General features: G+C 46.4%; 1 long non-coding RNA gene and 1 pseudogene across 1 annotated transcript in view; one reads left to right on the top strand and one right to left on the bottom strand.

The window, feature by feature from the left end:
- ARPC1AP2 (ARPC1A pseudogene 2) lies at nucleotides 9,623-11,026 on the top strand (annotated as a pseudogene).
- The window catches only part of LOC124904758 (uncharacterized), a 31,324-nt gene continuing 26,401 nt past the window's right edge, over nucleotides 12,240-17,162 (bottom strand). Inside the window, exon 2 of the long non-coding RNA XR_007067327.1 lies at nucleotides 12,240-14,331. This is a non-coding gene — a long non-coding RNA (uncharacterized LOC124904758). The remainder of the gene's footprint in view (nucleotides 14,332-17,162) is intronic.

A 17,162-nucleotide genomic window follows, 5' to 3' on the forward strand; every position in this document is an offset into this window, starting at 1 on the left:
TCCAACATTATTTTTTTCCATGTGGATATCCAGTTACTTGTCCCAGCACATTTGTGGAAGAGCTCTATTACTTTCTTTTTTCACTTACTTTTTTCTTTTCTTTTTCTTTTTTATTTATTTATTTATTTTTTTTGAGACAGAGTATTTGTCTGTCGCCCAGGCTGCAGTGCAGTGGCGAGATCTCAGCTCACTGCACACTCTGCCTCCTGGGTTGAAGCGATTCTCCTGCCTCAACCTCCAGAATAGCTGGCATTACAGGCGTGCGCCCCCATGCCCGGCTAAGTTTTGTATTTTTTGGTAGAGACGAGGTTTAACAGTGTTGGCCAGGCTGGTCTCGAACTCCTGACTTTAAGTTATCTGCCTGCCTCAGCCTCCCAAAGTACTGAGTTTACAGGCGTGAGTTACCGTGCCTGTCCCAAGAAATACCCTTTTTCTTTCTTTCTTTTTTGAGACGGAGTCTCGTATTGTCACCCCAGCTGCTGTGCAGTGGCGCGTTCTTGGCTTGCTGCAACTTACGCCTCCCGGGTTCAAGCGATTCTCCTGCCTCAGCCTCCCGAGTAGCTAGGAATACAGGCGCCTGCCACCATGCCTGGCTAATTTTTTGTCTACTAAAAAGTAGAGACCAGGTTTCACTATGTTGGCCAGGCTGTTCTTGAACTCCTGACCTCGTAATCTGCCCCACTCGGCCTCCCAAAGTGCTGGGATTACAGGCGTGAGCCACCGCGCCTGGCCAAGAAATACTCTTTACTTCACTTTTTAAATGTTGAGAAAATATAATTGAAAACAAAAAAAATCTTCCCCTAAATGAGATATCATCTCCACCACGATAATAAAAGACTTTGCCACATACATCACTTTCATATTGTTTCTCTCCCTCTCCCAAATGGATTATCGGATGTTTCCTTAAGAGTGAGCTACAATTAAAGGCTTTGCCACTCTCACTACATTGGAAAGATTTTTCGGCCGGGCGCGGTGGCTCACGCCTGTAATCCCAACACTTTGGGAGGCCGAGGCGGGTGGATCACTAGGTCAGGAGATCGAGACCATTCTGGCTAACATGGTGAAACCCCGTCTCTACTAAAAATACAAAAAAATTAGCCAAGCGTGGCGGCGGGCGCCTGTAATCCCAGCTACTCGGGAGGCTGAGGCAGGAGAATGGCGTGAACCCGGGAGGCGGAGCTTGCAGAGAGCCGAGATTGCGCCACTGCACTCCAGCCTGGGCGACAGAGCGAGACTCCGTCTCAAAAAAAAAAAAAAAAAAAAAAGGAAAACAGCAAGCTATCGTGTTTCCTACCTTCAAAACACGGAAATTTTCAAAACTTGCAGGATAAAATACCACAACAAAACATTTATCATGCCGAGCTCAGTGGCTCACGCCTGAAATCCCAACACTTTGGGAGTCTGAGGAGGGAGGATCACTTGAGGCCAGGAGTTCCAGACCACCTGGCCAATATGGTGAAACCCCATCTCTACTAAAAATAAACAAACAGCCAGGCTTGGTGGTGCACACCTGTAGTCCCAACTACTCTGAACGCTGAGGCATGAGAATCCCTTGAACCTGGGGGGCGGAGTCTGCAATGAGCTGAGATTGCTCCACTGCGCTCCAGTCTGGGTGACAGGCGCATTCATCAAAGAATTTTTTCTAAAATCTCAAAATGGTGTCTGAATACATTTCTGTAGGACTTACGCTGACTTGCCACAGAACTCTCAGCAGTGATTCCCCATTGAGCCATGGGAACGGGTGGAAGGCTGGACAGGAAAGGGGATGCGTAAGTGAACTTTTCTTTGAATTTTTACTACACAACACATATATACATTGTGTGGTCTTTAAAATTTAAAAAAATTAATAATGGGTAGAAGAAGAATATGGCTCCATCTTCTCTAATGATAAGTTCTGCTCTGACGTCAGAACAAAATTATAATCATTTTTACCTAAAATGCCTGCTTCATCAGAGTTCCTGCAAAAAAAAAAAACACTTTTTTTTTCTTTTTTTTGAGACAGAGTCTTGCTCTGTCACCCAGGCTGCGGTGCAGTGGCGAGATCTCGGCTCACTGCAACCTCCACCTGCCGGATTCAAGCGATTCTCCTGCCTCAGTCTCCCCAGTAGGTGGGACTACAGGCTGGCCTGCCACCACGCCCGGCTAATTTTTTGTATTTTTAGTAGAGACGGGGTTTCACCGTGTTTCGATCTCCTGACCTCGTGATCCGCCCGCCTCGGCCTCCCAAAGTGCTGGGATTACAGGCGTGAGCCGCCGCGCCCAGCCAAAAAAGAAAACTTTAATAACTTTAAACATCAGCCATCACACGGTGTGTGTGCGTGTGTGTGTGTGTGTGTAAATAATCTAGGTAAACTACAAAATTAGCCGGGTAAATGTAATGGAATACATGCTTGTAAACAAACTTGTCATAATTTGTGATCTAAGGTTATTATTTGACATTAGCAATCTGGGTAATTTCCAGTTTAAGAATTACAGGGGCCGTGGTGGCTCAACCCTGTAATCCCAGCACTTTGGGAGGCCGAGGCGGGCGGATGCACGAGGTCAGGAGATCAACACCAGCCTGGCCATCATGGTGAAACCCCGTCTCTACTAAAAATACAAAAATCAGCTGGCCGTGGTGGCGCGCGCCTGTAGTCCCAACTACTCGGGAGGCTGAGGCAGGAGAATCGCTTGAACCCAGGAGGAGGAGGTTGCAGTGAGCAGAGATTGCCCCACTACACTCCAGCCTACGCGATAGAGCCATAGAGCGAGACTACGTCTAAAAACAAACAAACTCAGTCTAAAAACAAACGAACAAAAAAACAACAACAAAAAAAAAAAGAAGAAGAGAAAATACAGTTACAAATTTTCTAAATAAATGTCCTGAGAAAAGAAAGGAAGGGAAAGTTGTCCTTCACCTCCAGTGTGCAATAGGCAGTTCCACATGCAGGTCACCCTCCATGTTCCATTATCCGCTCAAACAACACAGGACCTCGCTTAAACAAGCCGTTTTCTGGGGTTTTTTTGTTTGCTTGATTGTTTGTTTGAGACGGAATCTTGCTCTGTCGCCCAGGCTGGAGTGCAGTGGCGCGATCTCAGCTCGCTGCAAGCTCCGCCTCCCGGGTTCACGCCATTCTCCTGGCTCAGCCTCCTGAGTAGCTGGGACTACAGGCGCCCGCCACCATGCCCGGCTAATTTTTTATATTTTTAGCAGAGACGGGGTTTCACCGTGTTAGCCAGGATGGTCTCGATCTCCTGAACTCGTGATCCACCCGCCTCGGCCTCCCAAAGTGCTGGGATTACAGGAGTGAGCCACCGCGCCCGGCCCCTTAAGCTGTTCTAATTCTCAGTCCTGGCTGCAACCAGCGCCACACTCCACCCTTTTACCGAGGTCCTTGCCCCTCGCCCTCCCCCTACCCCAGCTACCCCAGGCTGCGGGGAGCTCGCCCCGCCTGCAGGACGGGCGTCTTTACCTGCTCACAAAAGGCACTTTGCATTTAAACCATTTTCAAATTAAGAAGAAAAACAGGTAATTCCAGCACTTTCGGAGGCCGAGGAGGGCGGATCACCTGAGGTAAAGAGTTAGAGACCAGCCTGGCCAACATGGCGAAACTCCGTTTCTACTAAAAATACAAAAATTAGCCCGGCTTGGTGGTGGGCACCTGTAATCCCAGCTACTCGGGAGGCGGAGGCAGGAGAATCGCTTGAACTCGGGAGGTGAAGGTTGTGGTGAGCCCAGATCACAACATTGCACTCTAGCCTGGGCAACAAGAGCGAAACTCCGTCTTAAGAAAAAAAAAGAAAAGAAAAGCTACCAGTTACACAGCAGGGCTCCTCAGAAAGCAGGGGGAACACCTGTTTCAAGTTTTTCTTGTATAGGGGCCTACGTAAAAGCTAACTGCCGGTGGGCTGATGGTGTGACAAAACTTACTACTTTGTTGATTTAAAACGATCCTTGGTATTTTAGTGTGCAAGTACTTGAAAGCATGGCTGTAATTATCTTAGAAGCACACATTGTCATGAGATATTGGGTCATGTGGACATTGTGTTTCTGTAGGAGTTTGTCCTTGCAAATATCATTAAGCTGCTTTCCTTAACCATTAACATCTTATGACTTTGACTCGCGCAGTAAGGAGTACGTTTTCCTAGTTTTAATGGACTTGAGCTTTGACATCCTGGTTCTCCTAGGTTCCTGCTTAACAGTGTATCCACTCATGCACCACAGAGTCTCAGCACCATTATGGAAGACACCACTCTAGTAATATATCAAAGACAGACTGAGCATCTACTCCAATAACATAAATAGTAATAGCAATGCTACGGAAAATATTAGGAAGTTTAATGTATGTATACAATTGATCATTTATTATTTTCAGTTTTATATTGGCTAAAACTACATTGGATGGGTTATTTTAATCAAATATTAGAAATATCTTTCAAAACTGCGATCTAATATAAACACACACAGTTTGAGACCATTTCCTCTATGTTCAATATATATGAAAGAGTTCAGATTTATGAACTTATTTTATGTTTTTCATTAGATCTAGTTTGTTTTCTATCTTGATTTCTTCTGTGTTCATGAGCTTGTGAACCAAAAGTATCTAATAGGTCTCAATTAATTTAGAAAGTTTACTTTGCCAAGGTTAACGATGTGTTTTTTGCAGCCAATGTGGTCCAGATGCAGCTGGGTTTTATACATTTTAGGAAGACAGGAGACATAAATCAATAAATGTAAGATGTACATTGGTTTGGTCTTGAAAGGCAGAGTAATGAAAATCAGAGACTTCCAGGTTATAGGTAGACAACAGATAAATGATAGCATTTTTAAAATTTATTTTTATTTATTTATTTATTTATTTATTTATTTTTAGAGTCTTGCTCTGTCGCTCAGGCTGGAGTGCAGTGGCGCAATCTCAGCTCACTGCAGCCTCTGCCTCCCGGGTTCAAGCGATTCTCCTGCCTCAGCCTCCTAAGTATCTGGGATTACAGGCACACGCCACCATGACTGGCAAAATGTTTAAATTCACCTATAGCCTGAAACCAACCCATCCCGCTTTGAGTTGCCCCACCTTTCTGGACCAAACCAATGTATTTGTTAAATGTATCTCATTGATGTTTCATGCCTCTCTAGAATGTACAAAACCAAGCTGTGCCCCCAACCACCTGTGGCCCATGTTCTCAGGACCTCCTGAGGACTGTGTCATGGGCCAGCTCACTCATATTTGGCTCAGAATAAATCTTTTCCAGTATTTTACAGAGTTTGACTCTTTTCATCAACACTAATATTGCTATGTCATTAATTTCTAAATATATTGTAATTTCAAATTCACCATGTGCATTCTGTAATAAGACAAATTTCATTTTAAAATTGTAACGTATTTTAGATATTTTCTTTGTTTTCTGTTTCTCAATGTTCTGTCACGTGTGGATAGCAAAGCCAATAAAATACTCTTCAGAAGTCATTTAGATTTATTTTCCCTTAGAGAAAAAATAATTTTGCAATATTTCTAAAGATAAATGGCAGGCAAGTTATTTTCTTTCATAGGAACTCTCAAGAAAGGACAACTCGGCCAGGCGCACTGGCTCATGCCTGTAATCCCAGCACTTTGGGAGGCAGAGGCAGGGGGATCACGAGGTCAAGAGGTCGAGGCCATCCTGGCTAACACGGTGAAACCCCGTTTCCACTAAAAATTAGCTGGATGTGGTGGTGCGCACTCTAGTCCCAGCTACTCAGGAGGCTGAGGCAGGAGAATCGCTTGAACCCGGGAGGCAGAGGTTGCAGTGAGCCAAGATTGCATCACTGCATTCTGGCCTGGAGACAGAGCAAAAAAAAAAAAAAAAAAAGGACAACTCAATTATTAAATGTTTACAAGTAGCCTCATTTCTTCAGGCAATAATTCCATGGCAATCTCCAACTTAACATGTAATATGGAAGTATGTTTTCCTGTCACAGCATTATAATTCTGTATTATGCAATATTGCTAAGTAGCCAAAAAAGAACACTGAGCCTGGACTTCCATGCTTCCATGCAAAAAAAAAAAAAAAGAATTGATTGTGACAGTTTTTGTTAACCTCAGAACGGTAGACAAGAAGCTGATTGTAGCGGAAAGTCATGATTCCATTTTGTATATGTAAAGTTTTGTTGCTTCTAGAAATGTCAAGGAAGCAACATGGACATACTGATTCACAAGAAATTTAAAAGAATATTTCCTGCCGGGTGTGGTGGCCCACACCTGTAATCCCAGCACTTTGGGAGGCCAAGTCGGGCGGATCACCTGAGGTCAGTAGTTCAAGACCAGCCTGACCAACATGGAGAAACTCCGTCTCTACTAAAAATACAGAATTAGCCGGGTGTGGTGGCACATGGCTCTAATCCCAGCTACTCAGGAGGTGGAGGCAGGAGAATCACTTGAACCCGGGAGGCGGAGGTTACAGTGAGCTGAGATAGCACCACTGCACTCCAGCCTGGGCAACAAGAGAGAAACTCCATCTCAAAAAAAAAAAAAAAAAAAAGGATTTTCTTAATCACAGAAAGATTTTGACATATACATCCTTGTAATATCATTATAAGAGAAATGCAAAGTAATTAGATGTTTCCAAAAAGTTAAAATAGAAACTACTTGTTTTTTGAAAAAGGGTCTCACTCTGTCACTCAGGCTGGAGTGCAGTGGTGCCATCTCAGCTCACTGCAGCCTCAACCTTTCTGGTTCAGGTGATCCTCCCACCTCAGCCTCCCTAGTAGCTGGGACTACAGGGCGTGCCACCACGCCCAGCTAATTTTTGTATTTTTTAGTAGAGATGGGTTTCGCCAAGTTGCCCAGGTTGGTTTCTGACTCCTGGGCTCAAGCCATCTGGCCGCCTTTGCTTTCAAACGTGCTGGGATTACAGGCATGAGCCACCATGCCTGAAACTACTTTCATCTATTGAGCTTATATTATAGCCAGTGTCACAGGAAAAAGCATGTGCATATTCTAACACAGACGGAACAATGAAAATGTTTACTACTGGGCCGGGCGCGGTGGCTCATGCCTGTAATCCCAGCACTTTGGGAGGCTGAGGCAGGTGGATCACAAGGTCAGGAAATCGAGACCATCCTGGCTAACATGGTGAAACCCCATCTCTACTAAAAATACAAAAAATTAGCTGGGCGCGGTGGTGAGCACCTGTAGTCCCAGCTACTCAGGAGGCTGAGGCAAGAGAATGGTGTGAACCCGGGAGGCGGAGCTTGCAGTGAGCCGAGATTGCACCACTGCACTCCGGCCTGGGCGAAACAGAGAGACTCCGTCTCAAAAAAAAAAAAAAAAAGAAAACTAAAAAGAAAATGTTTACTACTGTCAAAAAACAAATTTAGATATTGGTTAGATTTTATTCAAAAGGTATATTGCAATAGGGAAAATGCTCCAACCCCAAGATCTGCAAATATATGAGTTGCACAGAAAAGGGCTTCTCTTTTATAAGGAGAAGGAAGCAAGGTTAGAAAGCGCCAGGTACAGGGCAGTGGATAAGCATCTGCTGTGACCTATTCAGTGAATATTTTATCCTAAGGTCAGCTTACTCTTGGGATGGGACATTAAAAAGGCAAAGTTGGGCTGGACGCCATGGCTCATGCCTGTAATCCTAGCACTTTGGGACACCAAGGCGGGTGGATCGCTTGAGGACGGGAGTTCAAGACCAGCCTGGCCAACATGGTGAAACCCTGTCTCTACTAAAAATAAAAAAATTAGCTGGGGGTGGTGGCACAGGTCTGTAATCCCAGCTACTGGGGAGTTTGAGGCAGGAGAATCACTTCAACCCGGGAGGCAGAGCTTGCAGTAAGCCAAGACTCCATCTCTAAAACAAACAAACAAACAAAGAGAAGTTGTTCTCAATCACAGTGCCCATATGTGGTTAAGAAATAGAGGTTGTTAGCCGGGCACGGCGGCTCATGCCTGTAATCGCAGCACTTTGAGAGGCCAAGGCAGGTGGATCACCTGAGGTCAGGAGTTCGAGACCAGCCTGACCAACATGGAGAAACCCTGTCTCTACTAAAAATACAAAATTAGCCAGGCACAGTGGCGCATGCCTGTAATCCCAGGTACTCGGGAGGCTGAGGCAGGAGAATCACCTGAATCTGGGAGGCAGAGGTTGCAGTGAGCCGATATCATGCCATTGCACTCCAGCCTGGGCAACAAGAGTGAAACTGCCTCAAAAAAAAAAAAAAAAAAAAAAAAAAAAGAGAGAGAGAGAGAAATAGAGGTTGTTCTGAATTTCAATGGCCAAGAATAGTCCAACAGTCAGGGGCTTGGAGAAACAGGGAAGCCTAAGGTTTGAGTAAGTTAAGAAGCATTGTTTCCACCATCAGTGAGAAATCCTTGATGAGACAAACCGTGGGAATTTGGAGTTTTTTCTTATGTAAACAAAGAGGGTAAGCTTTGAAGTAAGCTGTTTCTAGGGAAAACAAAAACAAGGGATTGGGCAGGGGAGTGGTTTCCGGTGGGTTTTATTTGTTTTTTTGTTTGTTTGTTTTTGTTTTTGTTTTTGTTTTGCTTTTGCCCTAGAGGCCTCAAGAGGCCTGGGGAACATGTGCTCCTCTGGTGGTTTCTTCAATCTTTGCTATTTCTTCAACCCTTTACTAGGTTTACAGGGTTGTAATAAACTTCAACACTGTCACCACACGTAACATAAAACAAAATTTAAAAAATAATAAATATAGGCCAGGCGCAGTGGCTCACACCTGTAATCCCAGCACTTTGGGAGGCCGAGGCAGGCGGATCACCTGAGATCAGGAGCGAGACCAGCCTCACCAATATGAAGAAACTCCGTCTCTACTAAAAATATACAAAATAGCCAGGTGTGGTGGTGCATGCCTGTAATCCCAACTACTCAGGAGGCTGAGGCAGGAGAATCGCTTGAACCCAGGAGGCGGAGGTTACTGTGAGCCGAGATTGCACCATTGTACTCCAGCCTAGGCAACAAGAGCGAAACTCCGTCTCCAAGAGAAAAAATAATAATACATGTGTAGAATTTGAAAAATAGAACTAAAAATAGGAACAATAGCGATGTTGCCCCATACCTCAGTTTTTGAATGGAACGAAAGGGCCTTGAGTGTTCATTTTGGCTGTGTGTTATTCATTCCTATCACATACAAGAGACATTAGTAATTATTGGAAGATATGGCTCTAAATCTCTAAATTCAGGGGTCTGTGTAACTGTTAAATTGAACAGAAACCTAGAGATATATTAAGACAAATAGTGGGCTGGGTGCGATGGCTCACACCTGTAATCCTAGTACTTTGGGAAACTGAGGCGGGTGAACTGCCTGAGCTCAGGAGTTTGAGACCAGCCTGAGCAACATGGTGAAACCCTATCTCAAGTAAAAATACAAAAAAATTAGCCAGGCGTGGTGGTGTGAGCCTGTAATCCCAGCTAATCGGGAGGCTGAGGCAGGAGAATTGCTTGAACCTACCTGGGAGGCAGAGGTTGCAGTGAGCCAAGATCACACCACTGCACTCCAACCTGGGTGACAGAGCGAGACTCTGTCTCCAAAAGAAAAAGAAAAAGAAAAATGGTGTTTCCTTTTCCATTTTCCTGCTGACCATGGAAAAACACACTCTCACAGTTTTATCAATTCTTTGGTAACAATTACAAAATGCAAGCACTGGTTCACGTCGACAGCCCAGAGTCCGCAAATCCTCTGCTCTGAGCCCGTCCGGACTTCCCCGATCCCAGCCTTCTCTCCTTTGAAAACACTAAGAATGACATCACTGCATCAGTTTTTACTAGAGCCAATCACCTGTCGTGCCTGGAACAGGGATCGTACCCAGATTGCCCTCAGTCCTGATAATCAGGAAGCGCACATCTATAAGAAGCATGGGAGCCAGCGAGTGAAAGCTCGTGAACTCAGTGAGCACAATGGACATATCACAGGCATTCACTGGGCTCCCAAGAGCGACCGCATCGTCACTTGCGGGGTAGACTGCAATGCCTATGTCTGGAGTCAGAAAGATGGTGTCTGGAAGCCAACCCTGGTGATCCTTAGAATTAATCGTGCAGCTACTTTTGTGAAGTGGTCCCCGCTAGAGAACAAATTTGCTGTGGGAAGTGGAGCATGACTCATTTGTTTGTTACTTTGAGTCTGAAAATGACTGGTGGGTAAGCAAGCATATTAAAAAGCCGATTCGCTCCACAGTCCTCAGCTTGGATTGGCATCCCAACAATGTTTTGCTGGCAGCAGGATCATGTGACTTCAAATGCAGAGTGTTTTCTGCTTACATTAAAGAAGTGGATGAAAAGCCAGCCAGCATGCCCTGGGGCACCAAGATGCCTTTTGGGCAGCTGATGTCAGAGTTTGGTGGCAGTGGCACCGGTGGCTGGGTCCACGGGGTAAGCTTCTCTGCCAGTGGGAGCCGCCTGGCCTGGGTCAGCCACGACAGCACCGTTATCTGTTGCTGATGCCTCAAAAAGTGTGCAGGTCTCAATTCTGAAGACAGAGTTCCTACCACTCCTGAGTGTGTCATTTGTCTCAGAGAACAGTGTCGTGGCTGCTGGCCATGACTGCTACCCAATGCTCTTTAATTATGATGACCGCGGCTGCCTGACCTTCGTCTCCAAGTTAGACATTCCAAAACAGAGCATCCAACGCAACATGTCTGCCATAGAACACTTCCGCAACATGGACACGAGGGCCACGATTGAGGACCACAACATGGCCTTGGAGAGGCTGCACCAGAATAGCATCACTCACGTCTCTATTTATGAGGTAGACAAGCAAGGTTGTCGCAAATTTTGCACTACTGGCATTGATGGAGCCATGACAATTTGGGATTTCAAGACCCTCGAGTCTTCCATCCAGGTCCTCCACATAATGTGAAGCTGAGTGAGCCTTCGCCATCTAGCATGACAAACTGTGGCCAACCGCAGCTGTGCCGTGGCACGATGGCGAGGAAGCTAGACCCAAGGAAACACTGAAAACACATAGCAGGCCAATGCTGTGTGGTTTTGTTTGAATATAAAATTGGTGAAAATGCTGGTTTTTTTAAAGCAGTATTTTTTTTTTTATTTTTTTATTTTTTTTGCGATTTCATTCCATTCTTGACCAAAGCTTCCCTTTAAGTAGTTTATTATGGAAAATTGTCACACTAACTTAAAAGACAGGGTGAGGGAGATATGTAAATTGTCCACTAGAAAATTAAATAAAAGAACTAAATGTGGGAAAAAAAAAAAGAAAGAAAGAAAATACAAGCACTTAGGTCGGGTGCAGTGGCTTACGCCTGTAATCCCAGCACTTTGGGAGGCTAAGGCGGGTGGATCACCTGAGGTGGGGAGTTTGAGACCAGCCTGACCAACATGGAGAAACCCCATCTCTACTAAAAATACAAAATTAGCCAAGCACAGTGGTGCATGCCTGTAATCCCAGTTACTCGGGAGGTTGAGGCAGAAGAATCGCTTGAACCCAGGAGGTGGAGGTTGCAGTGAGCCGAGATGGCGCCACTGCATGCCAGCTTGGGCAACGAAAGCGGAAAAAAGAGGCCGGGCATGGTGGCTCACACCTTTGGGAGCACTTTGGGAGGCTGAGGTGGGTAAATCACCTGAGGTCCGGAGTTTGAGACCAGCCTGGCCAACATGGTGAAACCCATCTCTACTAAAAATTAAAAAAAAAATTATCTGGGCATGCTGGCGGGCGCCCATAATCCCAGCTACTTGGGAGGCTAAGGCAGGAGAATCCCTTGAACCTGGGAGGCAGAGGTTACGGTGTGCCGAGATTGCACCACTACACTCCAGCCTGGGTGACAGAGTGAGACTCCCTCCCCACCGCCCCCCCAAAAAAAAAGAAAAAAGAAAAGAAAATACTAGCACTAATTTATATGTCAGATTCATGTCACATCTCAAATTCATCTAAATTTTCTTGACATCCCTTTTTATACCAGTGGAGCCCTGATGAAGACACTTAATAGAAGTTTTCTCTCTATCAGAGAAATAAGTTGATGAGAATAAACTCAACGAAGGTGAAAATTCTGTTTTTTTCTGTGACCTGGGGGAAAAAGCTTAAGGTGAATTTACATTCAGATTGGTTATACAGAGAGAACATACAGAAGTGGATGAACTCGGTGTAATTAAGTTTTTCTATCCACAAACCAGGTGAAAGTATTGCAGGAGGCAGATAGCGAGGCATGAGCAGGTAAGGAGATTCTGTGTCACCCGCAAGGGGTCCTGATCCAGAACCTAAGAGAGGGTTCTTGGATCTCACGCAAGGAAGAATTCAAGGTGAATCCATACAGTAAAGTGAAAGCAAGTTTATTAAGAGAGTAAAGGAATAAAGTATGGCTACTCCATAGTCAGAGCAGCCTCCTGTTTCATCCTATGACTAAGAATGCCTTCACTTACTGGGAATGTAACCCAGCAGGTCTCAGGCTTATTTTCTCCAGCCCCTATTCCAGATGGAATTGCTCTGGTTCAAATGTCTCTGACACTTTGGAAAGGAATATTTAGAAATGCAACTCACTGGCCAGGCACAGTGGCTCATGCCTGTAATCCCAGCACTTTGGGAGGCCGAGACAGGTGGATCACGAGGTCAGGAGATCAAGACCATCCTGGCTAACACAGTGAAACTCCATCTCTACTAAAAATACAAAAACTTAGCTGGCCTGGTGGTGGGCGCATGTAGTCCCAGCTACTCAGGAGGCTGAGGCAGGAGAATGGCGTGAACCCGGGAGGCGGAGCTTGCAATGAGCCGAGATCGGGCCACTGCACTCCAGCCTGGGTGACAGAGCGAGACTCTGTCTCAAAAAAAAAAAAAAAAGAAAAGAAAAAAGAAAAAAGAAATGCAACTCACTGAGAGTCTCCTTAAAGATGCTGCCCACTGACAGCAAGAAAAGATCAGTGGCTACATTGCCTCCACCTGGCCTTGTGGCTGCACTCCTCTGGCCCAGAAGGGGACTTATCAGGGGCTAGCTGGACATAATCGAGATGGGGGATTTTCCCCATTAACAACCATGTGTACTTCTGCAATAACCCACCCTAGAAGAGCCTTCTGCTCAAAATGATACTGAAACACACATCCCTGGCTGGAGATTTGAGATGCTAATGAGATATGTGACGTGTGTACCAGCACGGACCGTCACAGGGCTTTCCTGATCAGAGGACTTCCTGGAACGTGCTTACTAGGAACATCCCTGCACAGCCCCTTCATGAATAATCATGTCAGATTCTCACAAAAAGGCTCTGCCCAACACTAGTAGGGACAGGCTCATTCTTTTGAGGAGCCCACCCTGCTCCACTGTTCAGGGTATCTCTTCTTTCCGAGCTCCTACGCCTTTAGATAAAGGGCACTTACCTGCTTAACTCTTTCTGCGTGTCTCTTGACTGAATTCAAGGAGACCAAGAACCAGAGGACTTCCACGCCCCTCCTGGTAACATCTGGTGTTTTCCCCTGGTGGCCTGTGAACTGTTCTTCTGGGTAAGTGCCAAAAAGCTGGTGCCAGATCCTCTGGTTGACGACCTCTGCTTCTTTCTGCACTGAAGAACCTCCTGCCCTAATGCAGATCTTGCAGCCTTAAGGGGAGGGGCTTTTCCTCTCGGGCTCTGTTCACTATCAACTGCCCAGTACCATTTCCCTTCAGCCACTGTCACTCTGCTCCCTCTGGCTGACTTCTCAGCTCACCCTGAGGGGTGACAAGCAGAGGAGGGAGGATTTAAACTCCACAGTGAGTAGATCTGAGACACGGTGACCCTCCCTGCAGGAGGCTTGTGAAGGTGGCAGAAAATCCACCCTGGCTGTGCAGTGACTGGGGAGCTTCATATCTTCAACTAAAACTACTATTCCATGTTGAGTCGGCTCTTCTACTTGCTGTTCATGGCAGTTCATTCTCCTGGACACAATATGCCGCCACCGGTGAATAATCCCCCAGGTCACTCTGCTTACTCTTTGCTGTCCCTGTCCTCGTCGCCGGGCTTCCTTGAATTCCTCCTTCGTGTACAAGTGCCTTGTCTGTCCTGCTTGTCTGGGACCTGCTGCGTTTGCTTCACTGCCAATCGCCGGAGGCCTGCCCGGGCCTGTGAGGAAGTTTATACTTATTTTTTCCCTAGAGATGAGACCCAGCTTCGTCCTTTCAGTTGCCTCCTTTCTCACTGCAGGGACCGGCACTGGCAGGATGCTCGCTTACAGGCATCCCTCGTTTACTATCGGGTCCTTCTCCGCCCGACTACTCTTCAAGAATGCCTCATTCTGTGGCTCCTCAAGCGAGCTGTCTGGTTCCTCCGGATGGTCATTTATAGGCCTCTTTCTCAGACCCCAGTTTCTCTTTACAACCGGGGTTTCCTGTGGGTCAATGGGAAGTTCTTCATCCGCCTCCTCAAGCCATTGTTACAGACCTGTACGGCAGTCAGGTGCTTTTTGTATTATGTTGAAAAAGCTGACAGAAAATGCCCCCGGCACTCCCCTTGCTGCTTATGTGATCATATCAGGGACGTAAAAAACCAGAATCAACAGCCCAGTCCACTAACTCTGAGCCCCAGGGGCCTTCCATGCCTGTTTAAGCATTTTTTCTGTATGATCCCCAAGGAACCTACTATGACCAGGGGAAGATATCAAATTTACCTCCATTCCTCTAACCATCTGTATGCATTAATCCAATATTATCATGCATTAAGGGGACCTTACCATGGAGTCCCTTCTCTGCAGACTTTAGCAGGGGCAGAACTACTGGACTTCTTGCAGAACCAAGGTCACTGGGAATATGAGAGACAAGAGAACTACTCCCATGCCCGACGTTCTTACATGCTTCCTGGCCCAACACAGAGGTGAGAAAGGCGTCCCTCCTAGGCATCAATCCTAGGAAATCTAAGAAAGGCTTCTGAGCAAAATGAGATACAGGGAGACAATGGATGGTGCAAATGCTAAGGCTAGCTAATTCTGGAGCCCCAGGGTGAAGAACCAATCATCCCTGTAAATAGAGGCATGGACACTTCACCTAGGCCAAGGTGTGGAATGCCTCACCTTCCTGAGGCACCCAATAGGTGGAGAGATGCCTTCTCTATCCTATATTCATTCCTGTCTTCTCTTTCAGATGGGTAACCAGAGCTCCGTACCCCAGGATTCCCCTCTCGGATGCATCCTTAGAAACTGGGATAAGTTTGATCCCCAGGCATTGAAACGAAAAAGATTGGTTTTTCTTTGCAATACAGTTTGGCCAAAATATGAACTAGAAGGGCAGGAAGCCTGGCCAGTGGGGGGAAGCTTAAATGTTAATACCATACTCCAGCTTGACGTCTACTGCCGACAGCAGCGCAAATGGTCAGAGGTCCCTTATGTGCAAACCTTCATGATCTTGAGGGAAAACCCCGATTTTTGTAAAGGCTGCAAGATAGATCCTGCCCTTTTAGCTATCCTCAGTCGTCCACTCCAGAGACCTCAACCAGGAGGCTTCAATGATTTCCTGGTCAACCCACCTCAACCTCCTCTTCCTGAGACCAAAGAGAAAGAGCAAGCACCCCCAGCTCCTTCCTCCTTGTATCGCACTCTTAGCCTTCATGGGTCAGCCTCAACCTACACTAGGCCCTCAGGCCCCCGCTCTGGAATCTGCCTGCTACCAGTGGTGAGCCGACCAGTAGGACCAGTCCAAGTCCAGGTCCCCTTTTCCATGCAGGACTTGTCCCAAGTTAAGGAAGGCCTGGGAAAATTCTCAGAGAATCCGGGAAAATTCCTGGAGGGCTTCCGTAAATTAACCCTCACTTTTGAACTAACCTGGAAGGATGTCGCCATCCTCCTAGGACAAACCCTGTCTCTGGAAGAAAGACAGACCATCTGGGAGGCAGCACGTCAATGCGGGGATGAGCTACACTTGGCAGATGCCAACTACCCCGTGGGAGCTACAGCTGTCCCCCTGCAGGACCCCAACTGGGACTACGATACCCCGGCAGGAATCTGCGCCAGAAATCATATGCTCCTATGCCTGATAGAGGGAATGAAAAGGAGTCAAGTCAAGCCTGTCAATTATAATAAGTTAGCAACCATCGACCAAGGGCCACATGAGAATCCCACGGCCTTTCTCGAAAGGCTCCAGGAAACTCTTATCAAACATACCAACCTAGACCCGGGATCCCCAGAAGGACAACTAGTCCTAAAGGATCACTTCCTCACACAAGCTGCCCCAGACATTAGGAGAAAACTGCGAATGCTGGCTTTGGGAACTAGAGCCCCCATGTCAGAAATCCTCAAATTCGCTTCCTCAGTGTTTTATAACCGAGACCAGGATGAGAGGGACAGGGCCGAGAGGAAGGAAAAACAGAAAGAAGAGAGGCAGGCTCAATTACTAGCTGCTTTGCAAGTTCACCAGCCCCCTCCAGGTTGCCCTAAGGATACCTTCCCAGGGAACTGCTATCAGTGCGGGAAGCCGGGCCATTGGAAGGCAAACTGCCCCTACGGGCCAAGGGGGGAAAAGCCCTGCACGGCCTGTCCCCTCTGCCGTAAGCTCAGGTACTGGAAAGAGAACTGTCCCGAGAGCCAAAAGGGCCCCTGAGCCAATGATGGCTTTGAGCTGAGGGTGCCCTCTGCCTTGGCCAGCTCCCAGATGTGACATCATCATCAAAGGGATGGAGCCCAGGGCAACTCTGGATGTAGCAGGTAGGACAATACATTTTCTATTTGATTTGAGAGCAGCCTGCTCGGTGCTGACCCCCTTCTCTAGGCAACTTTCCTCTGTCAGGTAATCAGGGTAAATGGCATCTCTTCCTAAGATTTACACCTTCTTTATTGTTAAAAGACCAATTAATCTTTTCCCATGAGTTCCTGATACTGTCTGAATGTCCCATACGTCTTTAGGGCAGGGATATACTCTCCAAACTAGGGGCACGCTTCACATTTACCTGAACTTCCCTGAAAGGCTTTCTTTTTTTTTGGAAGACTCACCCATGACATTGCTGAATTATCTTGATCTGGAATCACAAATAACCCTGAGATATGGGCTTTGATACACTAGGAAGGGCAATAACTGCAGTCCCAGTCAAAATCCAGCTAAGAAAACCTTCCACTTCTTTCATAAGAAACAATACTCGCTATGGCCAGAGGCAACAGAAGGACTTGAGCCTATCATTAACCCATTCCTTAGACATGGCCTGTTAAAGTCTGTAACTCTCCCTGCAACACAGGAAATCTATTCTGCTGGTAGAAAACATTTAAAGGGTTCTCCACTACTGAACCCTGA

Source organism: Homo sapiens, chromosome 19 (assembly GCF_000001405.40).
Source record: "Homo sapiens chromosome 19, GRCh38.p14 Primary Assembly".
Classification (NCBI taxonomy): Eukaryota; Metazoa; Chordata; class Mammalia; order Primates; family Hominidae; genus Homo; species Homo sapiens.